Source organism: Homo sapiens, chromosome 4 (genome assembly GCF_000001405.40).
Source record: "Homo sapiens chromosome 4, GRCh38.p14 Primary Assembly".
NCBI classification, from domain to species: domain Eukaryota; kingdom Metazoa; phylum Chordata; class Mammalia; order Primates; family Hominidae; genus Homo; species Homo sapiens.
Genome location: NC_000004.12, coordinates 8,217,227 through 8,233,733, shown reverse-complemented (window position 1 = coordinate 8,233,733; position 16,507 = coordinate 8,217,227). Strand labels below are relative to the sequence as shown.

Sequence of the window (16,507 nt, the reverse complement as noted above, 5' to 3'; positions counted from 1 at the left end):
TGAATGGATGGATAATGGAAGGATGGATGGATGGATGATGGATGGATGGAAGGACCCATAGGTGAATGGGTAGATGATGGAAGGATGGATGGATGGAAGGAAGGATGAACAGGTAAATGGATAGATGATGGAAGGATCATCTATCATCATCATCAATGGACGGATGGATGGATGGAGAGTGAACATGTGCAGAGGCCCTCCTGCATCCCTCATCACTCACCTGGATGTAGAGGTCCACCAGCTCGCTCTGCCGCAAGATGTAATAGATCTTCCCTGCTTGCAGCCAGGCATGCGCCTCCTTCTCTTTCTTCTGGAGGTCAATGAAAATCCCCAGACTTCGTTTGGTGTAGTCCAGTGCGGATTTGTAGGCCCTGGTATCAGACACAGGTGTCAGAACAAGGGCTGTCATCCTCCTGGAACCAGTCTGCCTCCTCCCGTGGGTCTGGTGACAGATGAATCTGGAATGGGACTGGGAACGGCCCTCTTGTGTGTGCAGTGTCCTGCCCTTCCCGGGCTGCTGAGAGGGTGGGGTTGAACACACACGGCAAGGAAAAGACGAAGGACATCCTTCTGAGGGAACTGGGCATCATGCTGCCCTGTGGCTGGGGGAGCGTGCTAGTCCATCTCCCCCGCGTCCCAGACATGGCCTGTGTCTTCTCTAGACGCACCAGGAGCCATCAGTGTTCAGATGCTATCCAGGCCGATGGTTCTCAAGGTGCGCAGGCATCACAGTCATCCAGAGGCCTGTCCATATAGCTTGCTGGCCTGCCCCCAGAGCTTCTGGCTCCACGGGCCTGGGGCGGGCCCTAGAACTCCCACTTGCCACAAGCTCCTAGGTGACATGGATGCTGCTCTGCTGGTCCAGGGACCACACTTTGAGAACATGGCTCTAACACACTGGCCCATTTTCCTGCTGTGAACCTGAGGCCAAGGCTGGAGCCGATCTCCCGGGTCCCTGTGGAATCCGGCTCCTTCCCTGCTCTCTTGGTGAGTCGAAGGGGTGTGAGTGCAGCAATGTCACTGGGCCCTGTGGGTGGGGTGGCCAGGGCCATGGTTACCCCACCAGGTCAGGATGCTCCAGGAGAGCCAAGTGGGCCACATGTGGGATGTGAGACCTTGAAACCCTGCCCCAGGGAAGCAGGTGACACAACTGGCTCTGTCTTCTGTGGGAGAGAAGCCACAGGTGGCTGCTGTGGTCACATTTAAGGGGACAGGTGAAGGCCAGGAGTGAAGACTCGGGGCAGGCAGAGGTCAGATGACAAAAGCCACCAGGTAGGAAGAACAGCCCAGAATGCATGTAACTGCTTCTGCTGGGGTTGAGATGACCTTTGGGGAGGTGTGCAAGCAGGGATGGGAAGACGTGTCACCCAACAAGGGAAGCTCAAGCTGGGACTCACGGGTCATCAGCAGCCCTGGGACAACCCCAGGCCCCCCAGCTCAGAGCATCCGATGCCAAGGAACCAAATGATCCCAAGGAGAGGGGCTGCTGGGGCCCTGGGCCAGCTTCCCTGTGCCCCCGCCCCGCCGCCCCCTTTGCCCCCTCCCCCCGCCCCCACCACCACAGAGCCAGCCCTCACCGCTCGGTGCCCAGGGACAGGTAGAGCTGGCTGATGGTCTCCAGGAGCTGCCCCTCCAGCACCTTGTCGGCCACCTTGCAGGCCAGGGAGAGCTGGAGCTCATGGTAGATGACACACTGGGCCTCGCTGGGCATGACGGCGCTGTAGAAGTGGCACAGCCGCTGGACGGCCCGCAGCTGGCCTGGGCAGAAGACAAAAAGGAAGACGTCAGCCTCCCAGCATTGAAGCGAGGCTGGCTGGGCTCAGAGGCCCCTGCGGTGTGCTTGCCTCTTTCACACCTCTGTGAGCCTGGGCCCCACAGGCGGGGAACCGCTGAGCACACCGTGACATGGGCACAGCTTGGTGCAGATGCCCATGGTAGAGGCCGGCCTTCTTTACAACTCCCAGGGCTGAGGCCCTAGCCGAGCTTGGCCCCTGCACCAGGCCATCTATTTCTGCTTCACAAAGCCCCTCTGGCCAGGACCAGGGCCGCCTTCAGCCCGAGCTGACGAGGCCAGGGACACAAGTAGCCCCTGTCGCAGATGGAACCCTGGGGGAGCAAAACCAAATGTCACGTCTGCCACACACGGCATCATGTTGGGGGAATGGGGCTCAAAGCCGGCCCCTGGCATTCCCACACGTGCTCCTCCCGTGCAGCCAGGCTCCAAACCCACAGGCTCACGGGCCTCTCCCAAAGCCAAGGCGCTGGGAACGGTGGAAAGCTGCTGATTTTCTAGTGTCAGCAACATTCCGGAGATGAACACCAGAAACCAGGTACGCCGAGTGGACATCTATCACACACGCCACCCAACAACGGCAGAATACACAGTCCTCTCAAGCGCCCATGGGACATTCCCCAAGACAGGCCACGTGCCAGGCCCCACAATGAGCCTCAGTGAATGGAAAAGGACTGAGACCAAAGCAGGAGTGTTCTTCAGTTGTACTGGCGTGAAACTGGACATCAACAGTGAAGGAAATTTGGGAAAGTCAAAAATATGTGGAAATGACACACTCCTAAACAACCAGTGAGTGAAAGAAGAGACCATCAGGGAAACTGAAAACTAATTTGAGAAGAATGAAAACAAACGCACAGCACGGGCCAGAGCAATGGCTCATGCCTGTCATCCCAGCACTGCGGGAGGCCGAGGCGGGAGGATCGCTTGAGTCCAGGAGTTTGAGACTAGCCTGGGAAACATGGTGAAACCCCCGTCTCTACAAAAAAATACAAAAATTAGCCGGGTGTGGTGGTGCATGTCTGTAATCCCAGCTACTCAGGAGGCCGAGGCAGGAGAATGGCTTGAACCCGGGTAGAGGTTGCAGTGAGCCGAGATTGCACCACTGCACTCCAGCCTGAGCAACAGAGCAAAACTCTGTCTAAAAAAAAAAAAAAAAAAGCACAGCATATCAAAAATTCCAAGATGCAGCTAAGGCAGTGCTGAAAGGGAAATGTGTAACTCTAAATGTCTACATGCAAAGAAAGAAGAAAAATCTCAAATCAAAAACCCAACCTTCCACCTTAAGAAACTAGAAAAAGAAGAATGAACTAAACCCAAAGCGAGTAAAAGGAAGAAAATAATAAACATGAGAGTGGAAATGGGAAGTAAAAATACAGAGAATGGAAAAACAAAAGAGCTAATCAACAGACCCAAAGGTGGGTTTTTCAAAAATATTAACAAAATTGACAAATCTTTCACCAGACTGACCAAGAAAAGAAAGATGGGACACAAATGACTAAAATCAGAGACCGAGCACCATGGCTCACGCCTGTCATCCCAGCACTTTGTGAGGCCGAGGTGGGAGGATCGCTTGAGGCCAGCATTCAAGACCAGCCTGGGGGAACATGACGAGACCCCATCTCTAATAAAAATAAATAAATTAAAAATTAAAAACCCAAGTTTCTAAAATCAGAAATGAAAGAGGGAACATTATTGCTGACCTGACAGAAATAAAAGGATTCCATGAGAACACTACGAACAATTGTATGCCAACAAATCAGATCATCTAGACGCAACAGCCAAACTCCTAGAAAGACACAAACTACCAAAAGTGACTCAAAAATGACCACAAGTAAGCATGTGGGGTATCAGCCCCACCCTCGGTCTTCTCGACTGTTCAACGCGGGGTGGGGAGACAGGGAAGCATGATCCTCGTCCCCTGGCCCCCGGTCTCCTCGACTGTTCAACGCGGGGTGGGGAGACAGGGAAGCATGATCCTCGTCCCCTGGCCCCCGGTCTCCTCGACTGTTCAACGCGGGGTGGGGAGACAGGGAAGCATGATCCTCGTTCCCTGGCCTGCGTTTCCAAGTCTGAATCCCCCAGCACCCCGGGGAGGGCCTCGTAGGAGGTGCCACAGGCTATTGTGCCAGGACCCACCGGAGGCTGCTGTGGGGGCTGGGGTGCCGGGTTTCTGGAGGGTCTCCTTGCAGTCAGAGAATGGCCCTGGGGAAGAAGCCTGGGTCTGAACCCCCCCACTCCTCCTTGGGCAGATGGCTCCCCAGTGCCCTTAGGGAAAAGGCCAAGCCACAGCCTGAGGCCCCAGGCCCTGCTTAGCTCTCCAGCAGAGCTTCTCACCATCCAGCACCCAACCAACCCACGCCCAACTCTGCACCTCCCTGCATAGGCCCTGCTCACTCACCCCCACTTACACCCCACTCATCCCCGCTCACCCGCTCACACCCCCGCTCACTCACCCCCTGCTCACCCCCATCACACCCCCACTCACTCACCCCCTGCTCACTCACCCCCATCACACCCCCACTCACTCACCCCTACTCGCTCACCCCTGGGCCTTCACACAGGCTACACCACCAGCCCCTCACCCACCACGTATTACTTGACTAAATCTTCTCAACCCTCTGGCCCCAGACTAAAGAGGCTTCCCTAACCCGGGGCCAAGAGCTGCCCCGCCATCACACCACTCACCCTTTTGTGGCTTCTCTGGCCTGAAGCTCACTTTCCCATGCTCAGCCCCTGCCACCCAAGGACCCCACAAGCCCCATTTGTGGGTGGGACGTGGCACACTCTGCACAACGAGCTGCTTTTGCATAAACTTTTCTGCGGCTTTGGGTAACCACCCGCCCCTGCGTCCTCTGTGAAGTGGGATGACAGGTGCACAGGGCTGCCGAGATGTCAAGCAGATAACATGGGCACAAGCACCGGCGTTCAGGGCCTGGCTCATGGAGGGGCCCCAAGTCCCAGCTCAGCGGAGCCTGCCTCGCTTCCAGGGTTATGTCTAGGGTGACCCACCGCCCGTTGCCCAGACTTCAGGGATTCCCAGCATGCAGGACTTTCAGTGCTCAAGGCAGGATGGTCCCTGGGCAAACCGGGAGGAGCTGGCTCCCCCAGTAGGGCAGAGAGGGCCTGGCCCTGCGTGGGAACTGCCTGTCTCCAGGGCGCTTGCCAACATCTGCTGTTTGCCATGACTCAGCACTTTCGATGGTGGAAAAACCACCGCTTGTGTCTGAATCACAAACCCCAGGTGTGCCCTGACCCGAGTGGCCCCGGAAGGCACACAGAAGGAACTGGGGCACTCACTCTCCACGTGGCCCATCTCCACGGCGACCAGAAGGGCCCACTCGTAGTAGCCCTTGCCCTGCTGGGCCGGGCCCTGGCGGGTGCAGAGATGGCCCAGCTGCAGGAGCACGTGGGTGAAGTCCCGGCCACACTCCCCAAGGGGCAGCCTCGAGAACAGCCGCACGGCCTCCAGGAGGTAGTGCTGGGCCAGCCTGCTGGCACCCGCATGCAGGCACAGGGCCCCGAAGTTGGCCAGCCCCACTGCCTGGTTCCTTTGCTGGCCCAGGTCCCGAGCCACCCGCAGGGCGCGGTAGTAGCTCTCAGCTGCCTGCCTCGTCCGGCCCGTCCTCTTCAGAGCCACGGCCACCATGTTGGCAATCACGCCCTCCTGGTCCTCGCTGGCCACCACTGCATCCCGGACAGACTGCAGGATGTCCAGGGCCACCGGGCTCTGCCCATGAAGCACGTGCAGCCAGGCCAGGGCCACCAGGTGGTCCACGATGGCACGGACTCCGGCAATAGCACTGGCTTCCACTGCCTGCGTCATGAAGGTGATGGCCGGGCCGTGGCAGCCATGGTGGCTGTACAGCTGGGCCAAGCTGGTGTAGAGGGGGCCGCGCAGCGCCTGGCCTGTGCCCGGGGTCAGGGAGGCCAGCGCTTGCCTGAGGTAGTGGGAAGTTTGGGCAGGGAGGCTGTGGGGCTGGGGGGCGTTCTGGAGCACCAGGTTCACACTCCTCAGCGAGCCGGCCAGCGAGCCCCGTGTCCGCAATGAGGCCACCTTGACACAGCTCAGCACCAGGTGGGGCAGGCACTTGCGGCTGTAGATGTCAGCCAGGAGTAGGTAGCAGTCTGAGAGCCACGCGGCCTCTGGGGCTCCCGAGTCCCTGTGCAAAAGCAGCAGCCGCTCTAGGAAGGGCAGGGCCTCCTCGGGCTGCTTGAGGTGCACGTGGTGCCTGGCCAGCAGGAAGCAGGCCCGGGCCTCGGCCTGCAGGCTCTGGCCACCCACCGCCCGCCGCAGCGCCAGCTGCAGGAGCTCCCCCTCCGCCTCGGTGCTGCAGATGTGGTCAGGCGTCCCCAGGAGCAGGGCCATGGCTTTGGGCACCACCTGTGCACACTTCTCCCGGTTCTTCTGCTTCCGGTAAATGCTGGCCAGGTTGGCGTACACAGCCACCACTAGGAACAGGTCCCCGAAGCTGCCCTCCAGGGCCCCCAGCGCTTCCTCAAAGTACACCCGGGCCTGGGACAGCTTGAGCCTCCTGCTGCACAGCCGCCCCAGGAGGAAGCAGAGCCTGGCCAGGGCCATGAGGAGGCCAGCTTTCTTGGCCGCCCCCCGGGCCTGTGCCAGGCGCCCAGTCAGCTCCTCCTCGTCGCTGAAGCTGCGGAACACGCTGCTCAGCCACGGCAGCGCCACATCGTACAGGCCACGGAAGCTGGCCTTGTACCCAGGGGCGTTCAGGAACAGCAGCAGTGAGCTCAGGGCCTCTGGGTCCTCCCAGTCGTCCTCGGCTTCCAAGCAGAAGGAGGGCTCCTCGGGGTCCTGCAAGCTCACGTCGCTGGATGCCGCACAGAGACCCCAGGACGCTGGCTCCTGGGGGCAGCCTGGGCAGGTCTTGCATTGTTCCAGAACATTCTTCACCTTCTGCAAGGTCTCCTGTGGCTCCAGGCTCAGGCAAGGTGGAGGTATTTCTGCAAGTCACAAAAACACCTAGACAGATTAGAGTCCAGCAGTGAGTCCTGGGTCCACTGGGGGCAGGGTCCCCTCATCCCCAGCCTCTGTGTCCCCGGCGCAGCACTTTCCAGACGATACCACCCTACCGGCTTGCCATGAGCCCTTGAGAATTATGTGCAATGCAAACCCAGGGCCTGGAGCACATAGGAACTCCGGCACTGTGGGGACAGGGAAAACACAGGCCCATGGCCCAACTCTCCTATGAAATCACCCTCCTGTCCTCCTTTGTTGCCCACCTGACAGCATGGTTTTAGGAGACTATGTGTCAGCTCAGTGATCCCTCAGAGATGCCTTTCCCTTTAGAAAGAATCAAAGCCTTCTAACTGCACCCAAGTGTACGCAGCACTACGACTACAAATGTAATTTTTGTCAGCATACTGGGCCCCTCGATGGGGTACAGGAATCCATGAAATCCTCAACAGCCAGTCAGAGCTACTGATCAGCTCAAAAGCTGCTATGCAAAATTGGTAAAGCTACCCACAGCAGAGGACAGGGATGTTGTAGCCATGTACCCAGCTCCATGCAGGGAAATGGACCATCCCTGCAGGAAGGATGGGAAAGCTTCCAGGCTCCTGTGACCACCTTCACCTTGGATGGTCTGAAAACCTGAAGCCCGCAGTTCCTAAAGGGTTAACAAAGGCCAGGCTGCCCACGCAGCCTGCTGGCGCCTGCTGGCTTTGGTGGATTCCCAGCCAAAGCCCCCTCCCAGAGGTGAGCAAACAAGCGCATTTCCTGTTGGAAAACCTGGGACGAAAGGAGACATTACTGGGAAGGAAAGAATCTAGATTTAAATAGACTCTCTGTTTCAAGCTCACATGTAAAAAATATTTTCACTACAAACTGTCTCCTTATTCATCTGTAAAGCCTTGGAATTAAAAAAAAATTACATATGATTTAGAGGCAAATGTGACTTGACTACACTAGATTAGCTAAGAAATCTCCCTGCCCGGCAGAGGCAAACAGCCCCTCCCAGCTATTACCCTGGCCTTGGGGGCAGCTGGAGTCACTCGCATTTGCTCCAGGGACTTCGGCAGAGGGTGGATCCACCCCCTCCCCCAGGAAAACCTACAACAGCCTTCCCTTCCCCACTGGCTTCCAGGCCTCCTCTGGGACCTCCTGCCTGCATCCCAAATGTACTGGAATGGATCCCATTCCCAGGGAACTTCCGAGGGCTCTTGGGGTGTCCACATCCCCAGGCTCTCCCCATGCGGACCCTGTGTGAGGGGAAGAGACAGAGCTGTAGAGGGGAGATGGAAGGGTCTCCCTCAATCAGCCCCTCAGGAAGGAGCAGACCCTTGAGGGACCTCAGTTGAGGCCCCTGCAACCTAAGGCTCTGAATTCTGCCACCCACTGAGGGCAGTGTGGCCTCCCATCTCTGAGGCAGAGCAGAGGGCAAGCTGCAGCTTCTCCAGGTCATGAGAAAGGAACCCACAGCTACAAGTGGACCCAAGCAGTGGAAAGGATGCTCCATCTTGGGCGGGGACCAGGCGGGGGCCAGCATGTTCATTGGAAGAAGTGCGGGACCCCACGGCCTCCAGTGCCACAGTGGACGGGAGGTTCAGGCCCACCTCAGGCAACCTCCCCCAAGCCCCCAGCCCACACCACAGAGGGGTGACAGCCGCACCCAATGCCCACCGTGCTCAGCTTTGTCACCTCCCCCAGCGTTACCCCAAGGCCCAGCTCATAACCAGAGGAAGCCTGAGCCACTGGCAAAACCCACCTTTTTCCTGCGGCTGCTCGGTCTCAGCTTCCTCTACTGAGTCTGGCAAGGGAGAAAAGAGAAGCAATCAACACCCCCAGCCAGTACCTCTGGTCCCCTGCCAGGTTGAGCTAGTGTCGATGTTGCAGGGTGAGAGCATTGCTGGGTGCAGGTATTGAGGGCTGAGATGTTGCAGGGTGCTGGTGTTGCGGGCTGGAGTGTTGCAGGGTGCAGGTGTTGCAGGCTGAGGTGTTGCAGGGTCAGGTGCAACCAGCATAGGAGCACTGCTGACACCTGAGGGAGAGGCACCAGCCAATGGGCCAGAGAATTCTCATGTTCTAGCATCTCCAGGCCTCCACCCCACCCAACCCCTGTGGGGATTCCACTCTCCCGTCTTCTGGGGACATCCTCCCATCATCAGTGGGGAGCACGCTCTCGGCTTCCATCAGCTCCATCAGGGAGCAGGGCGCATTGAACAGGCAGCAGCTCTGAGTCCGACAGCCCAGGGATCAACACTGCTCCAGTGCACCCCCACCCTCTTCATCCCAGGGCAGGCAGCTACCGGGTCTCAGTTTCACCCCCGTAAAGTGGCTGACACTAACTGCTTACTGGGTTTCCGTGGAGGTCAAGTGAGAAATAGCTGTAAAAAGATGTGGAGATGTGGACAGCGTCAAGCGCTGTGAACTGCGATAACAGGTGTGCAGTTCTGGGGAGCACCCTGCAATGCCTCCATCTCACAACACCTGCATCCTGCAACACCCCCACTTATGACACCTGCACCCTGCAATGCCCCTGCCCACAACACCCCACGGTGTGGAGGGTCCCAAACCTGCTTCCTAAAAAGGACAGGAGATACCATCCAGGGGGTCTGAGCCTTGATATGCTGAGGTCAAGTCTAAGTTTGTCCATTCAGGAAGGGAAGTTGATTTGTGGGATCTACAAATGTTAACTCTAATACTGGTGGGAGAAAAGGTCTTGTAATGCATGTCATCGAGCAAGCAGGAAAAAAGTGTGTGTGGAAATGTATCTGTTTATATATGTGTGTGCATATGTGTGTGAGGGGGTGCATGGATATGTATGTACGTGTGCGTGTACACCTTGTGAGGAAGGTGCATGCACATGTGTGTATGTGTGTATACACCTCTGCAGGCACATGTGCACACATGTCTGCATGGGTGGGTGTGTGTGTGTGTATACTTGTGAGTGCATGTGTGCATGCACACAGTGTGTATTTACATGCGTATTTGTGTGTTTATGTCTGTGTTTGTACATGTGCACATAGGTATACAAGTAGGTGTGTAGATGCTGGGCACAGTGGCTCACAGCTGTAATCCCAGCACTTTGGGAGGCTGAGGCTGGCGGATCACCTGAGCTCAGGAGTTCGAGAACAGCCTGGCCAACATGGCGAAACTCTGTCTGTATAAAAAAATGCAAAACTAATCCAGGGTGTGGTGGCGCGTGCCTGTAGTTCCAGCTACTTGGGAGGCTGAGACACGAGAATCGCTTGAACCCGGGAGGCAGAGGTTGCAGTGAGCCGAGATCATGCCACTGCACTCCAGCCTGGGCAACAGCACAGGACTCTGTCTCAAAAAAAAAAAAAAAAAAAGTGGGTGTGTAGCCACACATTTGTGTTTATCTACACCCAGCAGATAGCACGGCCTCTGCCATGTTTCTTTATGTTGTGGATGACATGCCAACTTCATCTATGCGTTGCACTGCAGCCCCCAGAGAAAGCTTTTGCACACAGAGGGGCACTGAGGTCAGAGGGACTATCTCTGTCCTTAGGAGACGGCAGCCCTGGGGTCCCACCATGACACTCCCTGGCAGCCAGGTGACCAGGCCACACCACAGTCTGGGTTCTTTCTCTTGTGACAAGGAGAAAAGTCACTCTCACCCAGGCAAAGTGCAGTGGGCAGAGGGCTGGGCCCCAAACAGGAGCCCTCAGGGCTGGCAAATTAGAACCAGACCCATACCCTCTCCCTCGCCCAGCGTCTCAGGCAGGTGCCTGGGGTCAGGGCAGGAAGGGCTTCCCTGGTGCCCACAGGAGTCTCAGGGGCCACATTCCCACGCCCTCAGCTCCTCACCCATCCTCTCTCCTGTCTGGCTTGTCTGCAGCCCCTATGTGCCCTGGAGGCAGCGGCAGCCTCTGTCTGTTCACCTTTCAGCATCCAGGGGCTGGCACTATCTGTGGATGGACGAGGGCAGCAGGGGCTGCAGAAGGGAAAGGGGAGGGCAGTGGCCCCACCACAGGCATCGCCCACACGCACCCAGGCTGTACACGCTGCAGACATCGGTGCCCGACATCCGCCTCAGCAACTGCCTGGCATCCTCCTCAGAAAAGCAGCCCTCGCTGAAGAATGACTTTTCTTCCTCATTGAGAAAAATCGCACTTTCCAACCTGGAAAAAATAAAGTGCTTTATTCAAAACAACATATTTGCAAAGTCAGCATTTCACACTAAGCACATTTCCATTCCTTGATTTGACAGACAGATAGTCTCGGAGCACTACTCTCTGCCCAGGGGTAGAGACAGAGATTTAAAAACAACAACAACAACAACAAAAAGTCCAGGCATGGTGGCTCACACCTGTAATCTCAGCACTTTGGGAGGCTGAGGTGGGCGGATCACTTGAGGTCAAGGGTTCAAGACCAGCCTGGCCAACATGGTGAAACCCCCATCTCTACAAAAATACAAAAATTAGCCAGGCGTGGTGGCATGAGCCTGTAATTCCAGCTGTTCGGGAGGCTGAGGCAGGAGAATCACTTGAACAGAGGAGGAAGAGGTTGCAGTGAGCCGAGTTCACACCACTGCACTCCAGCCTGGGTGACAGAGCAAGACTTTGTCTGAAAAAAAAAAAAAAAAAAAAAAAAAAAAAACCAGATCCTGACCTCAAGGGGTGCCTTGTCTGGCCAGGGGCAGATACCCAGAAGCAGGAAAGGCTGAAACAGATGCAAACAAGTAATGGTGTCCTAGGACAGTGAGCTCCTAGGCAGCCTTCAAAGCCCCATTCCAAATGTCCCCTCCCTTATGAAGTCCCCTGTGACAGCTGCAGACAGAACCAATCCAATCTCTCCACATTGTAAACTCCCACTGATTCTGTACAACCTCAGTGCTCCCCAGAGTGCCCAACATACACTCAGGGCACTCTCATAAAGTCAGGGAGAAGAACTACAGGAAGAAACAGAGAGAGAGGGAGAGAGGGGAGGAGAAAGGAGGCAATTTTTGCTTATAGGACTAAATTACCAGTATAATATGAAGCTTTGAAATGCATCTTATTCAGATTTTAAAAAAACTTAGAGTAGCTTACAGCACATTCTACAAAATAACAGGCCTGTATTCTTTAAAAACATCAGAAAAAGACTGAAAAGCTGTTTCACATTAAGGAGGCAAGACATGACGTCTGAATAGAACACGTGGTCTGAAATTGTCATTGTCTACAAAGGCCATCATTGTGGCTCCTGGCAAAATCTGAGTAAGATCTGTAGATAATGGCATTGTATCTGCGTTCATTTCCTGATTTCGACAGTTGTACTGTAGTTATGTAAGCAGATGTCCTGGTTTTAGGAACCACATACTGCATTATTTAGGGGTAAAGGAACATCATGTTTGCAACTTACTCTCAAAGTGTTTAGAAAAAAATAGAAGTGAAAGAGAGAAAGCAATAAAGCAAATGTCATAACATGTTAACATTTGTGCAATCTGGGTGAGGGCGTGTGGGAATGTTATACTCTTTTTGCAACTTTCTTCTAAGTCTGAAATTGTGTCAAAAATAAAGTTAAAGAAAAAAAAAAAGAAGAGCTACCAGGTTGTTCACTAAATAAAAGATGAAAACCCCGGGTCTGGAATAGGAAAGATATTCAGCAAACATTTGTTGAGTGAATGAGAGAAGTCAGAATTTCTCCAGCTGTGAACAGGACTAATGGCACCCAGCCCCGTCATCCTTCTGGGTTAAAGGAAGGGAACAAACTAGCTCATTCCCTGGCTCTTCTCTGACCCCTTGTAAGTTCAGTACATGTTGACTTCACACGGCCCCCAGTGACCTGTTGAGAATTTGTGGTCTCCCTTGGAGATGGTAGGGATCAGCTAGACCAAGGATCCCCAAAGAGTGTCCCATGGAACACCAGCTCAGCCAAAAGCAAACAGGGTTGTGGAGGATTCTGGAGGTTAAGTAAGTGTGGAAAAGGCATTTCAACAGGAAAAAGATGCCTTGTTTGTGCTGGGAATCCCTGGGATCACCCACAAGGGATGTGGACAAAGCTTTTCCCCACTCCTTAGGGCATGATGAAGTCTATGATGGAGCAGTGTGTGAGAACATGCTTTGGGAACTGCTGGTCTAGCTCCTGCCATCAGTGCATGGCCTGGCCAGCTTCCAGCTGCTTCTGATGCACAGGTGCCAGAGGTACCAGAGCAGACGGACCCTTTCCATGAGGGGAACAAGTGAACGGCTTGATGAGGCATGGTGACAAACGGCCTCTGAGACCTGGTCTGAGAGGTGTTGGTCTGTCGCAGCCCTAAACATTGAACAGGACCACTGAAGACAAGCATCTCATTGGTGGGGCCAGGACCAGGATCACATGACCCAGAAGGTGGCCTCTCCATGCACCCACATTCTCTGGGCTCCTTGACTGAGGTCTTAACAAGGACAAGGCCAGGGAAACAGAATTCCATCAAAGGATGGGCACAGCTGACTCCTCTCCAAAGACCCCCTGCTGCTGCTCGCACTGGGCAGTGAGAACACAGAAGTGACCAGGGAATTCTTCTCTTGGAGTTCCCTGGCTGGGAGCAGGCAGGTCATGGGTGGCGTGTAAATCACATAGGAAGAGGCGTATGGCCAGAAGAGTGCCCCCCCCAGAGGAGCCACGGGGGCTGATGGAAGGCCCCAGGAGAACACGGGGTTCAGGGAGAGGGGGCATCCCAGGCAGAAGGACACACGTGTCACCCAGAGCAGTTTTGGAAGGCACAAGGTACTCTGTGCAGCCCATGGGGGCCTGCAAGGTCGGGCCCAGAAGCTTCCTGGGGCTTAACGGAGGAGAGCGACGTGTGTACTGGATTAAATCGTGTCCCTCAATTCATGTCTCCCGGAACCTCAGAAGGTAAGCTTTCTTGGAGAAAGGATCTTTGCAGATGTAATTAGTTCAGCTAAGATGAGGTCAGATTGGAGTTGGATGGGTGCTAGGAGATGGGCACCCTTTTAAGAAGAGAATACGGAAGACACACAGAGGAAGACAGCCACGTGGAGACGGCGGCAGAGTGCAGTGATGTGGCCACAGGTCAAGGAACGCCCACGGCCACCAGGAGCTGGAAGAGGCAAGAAGGACCCTCCCCTAGAGTCTCCAGAGAAAATGTGGCCCTTCTGGCCTTGGTTTTAGACTTTTGGCCTCCACAACTCTGAACAAGCACATTTCTGTTGCTTTAAGCCCCCGGCGTGCAGTGCCTTATCACGGTAGCCACGGAAAGATGATGCACATGGGCAGGTGTGCATTCGAGGGAACGCTCTCCCTGCAGCAGCCCGGAGAAAGGACGCCAGGGAACCCTGGAGTCAGGCACTGGGGCCAAGGGGGCAGCAGCCTGAGGACAAGGGAAGAGACTAGGCATCGTCCACAGTGACTTTCAGGCTTGTTACCTGGGGAGCCAGGTGGACGCAGCAACGTCCCCTTAGGTGAGATGGGGGTGGGTTCAGGAAAGGGGCGGGGCTCCAGCCACTCACTCGGACACGGGGCCCTGCATGCTGATGAGGCTGCTCCGCACAAACCCCACCCGGCCCGAGGCTGCGTGTCGGCCCACGCACCAGGGCAGGCTGGGCACCTGCGCCCCAAGGATCTCGATGAGGTCGCCACCTCGGAAGGTCATCTCTTCGGGCCCCGAGCCCTGGAAGTCTGCCAATGCCGAGGCCAGGCCCACAGCTGCGGAAGAAAGCCACATGGTGAGTGCCAGGGAGACCAAATGGGGGCCAGAGCGGGCAGACAGGGCCGATGCCAGCCACCCTGAACCATGGGGAATTCATCTTTTGGTTACTAGGAGGTTCGTAGTAAAGCTTGGTTTCCGCAATGAGGGAGGGAATGTCTACGTGGTCCTCAGAGGGGATGTTTTTATCCCTCTGTTGAAGATGAGAAAAATGGAGGCTCAGAGATGTTGATAAATAAGCCTCGGCCATCAGCCTCCAAGGCCAAGGCTCTTTCCTCCTTTCCTTCTGCAGCCACAACCCCCGGCCCCACCTACTCCCCACCCGGCTCCTGCATGGGGCTTTAGTCCCCCTGACAGGTGCGCAGGCCACCCAGACACCGGCAGCTCTGACAGGTGCACAGGCCACCCAGACACCGGCAGCTCTGACAGGTGCACAGGCCATCCAGACACCGGCAGCTTGCCACAGAGCACAAAGCGCTGGACCCGGCATCCAAGGAGAAGGGCTGCTGGCAGTGCCAGCTTTTCATAAAGAGGACGCGGTCACGGTCCTCTGTTAGTGCACGTGGCAAATTCAGCCAGCGCCAGCCCACCTCGGCCCAGGGCCTTCCAGGCGTTTCCCATGGTGACAGAAGGCTAGACTCTGAGACTGTTGGGTTGCACTGTCTGAGAAGTGGCGTTTGGGAGCTCTTTGCAGACAGTGGCCGGGGGCCCTGGTGCAGCTTCACTGAGCATCCTATGACGCTGCACCAGCCCCCAGAGCTTCCTGAGTGTCAGTTATGACCTCACAAGCTGGAGAAGACTCGGTTGGTACAAAAGTAATTGCGGTTTTTGCCATTGAAAGCAATAACAAAAACCACAATTACTCTTGCACTACCTGATAGCTATCTCTCTGGCTCAGGGAGGATGTAGGGCAACTTCCAAAATGTTGGTGCTGCTCCCTAGCACACACATTTCCCCAAAAAAGAGAGGCCCATGGAAACACTTACCCATCAGCGGGTTGCCGGGCATCACAGGGCCACCCATGGCATCGTCGATGGGGTCCTGGGGGATCCTAAGAGCCCACCTGGAGCCGGAAGAGGGAGGTCTTTGCTGCGGGATTTCAGATTTGGGGCAGATACATCCTGTGCAGAGACTGGACAGGCCAGCAGCCCCCAGCAACCTGAGCAGGTCCCTCGCCTCCCCCAACACACACACGTGCACACACACACACACACACATGCCTGCCCAGGTGTGTGGCCTTCAGGCCCCGTGCGTGTGGCACTGCCCCCAGGGAGCCCCGCACCCCTCAGCCTAGGGCCCGTGTCCTGGAAACACCGCCACCCCTGTGGGCCTGGAACCCTGCAGACCTCCAAAGCACCTGCCTCCCCCAGCTCCACACAGTGAGGGGTGAGGGAGATCCCAGCCTGGGGCTCTGGAGGCCTGGATTCAAATCCTAGTACCACTGTGACTTTGCCATATAACCTGGACAGATCACTCCTCTCTCAGCCTCAGTTCCTTCAGCCAGAAAAAAAAGGAAGCTGGACTAGATGACTGACAATCCCTCTTTCCCAGATGGCAGAACACTCTCAGTGTCCCCTGTTGGGACACCACTGGCCAGAGCACATAGGAAGGATTCTTAGGAGAAGCTCCTCTTGGGTCTCAGTAATGAGAGAAGCCAAGCCACAGCCTGTCACTTGAGACACTGCAAATCAAGAGATTGAGGTTCTCTCTTTGCTTTGGCTACCAGGAAGCTCCAACCCAAGTTAATGCCCCCCGCTTCAGCAAGTGAACAGGAGTTTGCATGTCACCTGTCCTCACATCCCCTGGCTCTATCTGTGGGTCCCGTGTGCCTTCTCACTCTGGATACGCATGTTTTATGTAGCTTCCTCAAAAGCTTTTCGGATGAGCCTGGTGAGAGCTCATGCCACATCTCCTGTGCCAGCGAACCCCAGGATAGCCCTGCCAAGTGGATGTCATTGGCCTATCATGCAGCTGGCAGGCCAGAGGCCCAGAGAGGTGGGCCAAATTGCCGAGGCCACACAGCTGGGAAGCAGCAGAACAAGGCCATGGCCAGGTCTGTCCGGGGCCCCCACCATTCCCTGTCCATCCCCTTGACCTCCAGATGACC

At 55.9% G+C, this 16,507-nt stretch overlaps 1 protein-coding gene across 17 annotated transcripts in view, besides 4 other annotated features; it reads right to left on the bottom strand.

Moving 5' to 3' along the window:
* The window catches only part of SH3TC1 (SH3 domain and tetratricopeptide repeats 1), a 59,032-nt gene that overhangs the window by 7,370 nt on the left and 35,155 nt on the right, over positions 1 to 16,507 (bottom strand). For 11 of the 17 annotated variants that reach the window (NR_134639.2, XM_011513488.1, NM_001318480.2 and 8 more), the window contains 7 exons: positions 15,387 to 15,463; positions 14,204 to 14,399; positions 10,764 to 10,894; positions 8,518 to 8,559; positions 5,090 to 6,754; positions 1,578 to 1,758; positions 221 to 371 (listed from right to left, as the gene is read on the bottom strand). Coding sequence is in view for 13 of the 17 variants with exons in the window: in XM_011513488.1 (XP_011511790.1) it covers positions 221 to 371; positions 1,578 to 1,758; positions 5,090 to 6,754; positions 8,518 to 8,559; positions 10,764 to 10,894; positions 14,204 to 14,399; positions 15,387 to 15,463 (2,443 nt within the window). In the remaining 4 variants the exon portion in view is untranslated. Of the gene's footprint in view, positions 1 to 220; positions 372 to 668; positions 1,327 to 1,577; positions 1,759 to 5,089; positions 6,755 to 8,517; positions 8,560 to 10,763; positions 10,895 to 14,203; positions 14,400 to 15,386; positions 15,464 to 16,507 lie in introns of those variants that run through there. The other 6 variants (NM_001410712.1, XM_047415792.1, XM_024454094.2 and 3 more) reach the window with 4 other exon arrangements.
* Positions 4,099 to 4,769: an enhancer, noted in NCBI's record as "H3K4me1 hESC enhancer chr4:8230692-8231362 (GRCh37/hg19 assembly coordinates)". NCBI's record gives its function as "activates a minimal SCP1, AML or CMV promoter by ChIP-STARR-seq in primed H9 embryonic stem cells {active_cell/tissue: H9 hESC(primed)}" and the evidence as "EXISTENCE:reporter gene assay evidence [ECO:0000049][PMID:30033119]".
* Positions 4,282 to 4,341: a silencer, noted in NCBI's record as "silent region_15259". NCBI's record gives its function as "represses an Ori minimal core promoter by ATAC-STARR-seq in GM12878 lymphoblastoid cells {active_cell/tissue: GM12878}" and the evidence as "EXISTENCE:reporter gene assay evidence [ECO:0000049][PMID:35858748]".
* Positions 4,862 to 5,121: an enhancer, noted in NCBI's record as "active region_21291". NCBI's record gives its function as "activates an Ori minimal core promoter by ATAC-STARR-seq in GM12878 lymphoblastoid cells {active_cell/tissue: GM12878}" and the evidence as "EXISTENCE:reporter gene assay evidence [ECO:0000049][PMID:35858748]".
* Positions 6,111 to 6,780: an enhancer, noted in NCBI's record as "H3K4me1 hESC enhancer chr4:8228681-8229350 (GRCh37/hg19 assembly coordinates)". NCBI's record gives its function as "activates a minimal SCP1, AML or CMV promoter by ChIP-STARR-seq in primed H9 embryonic stem cells {active_cell/tissue: H9 hESC(primed)}" and the evidence as "EXISTENCE:reporter gene assay evidence [ECO:0000049][PMID:30033119]".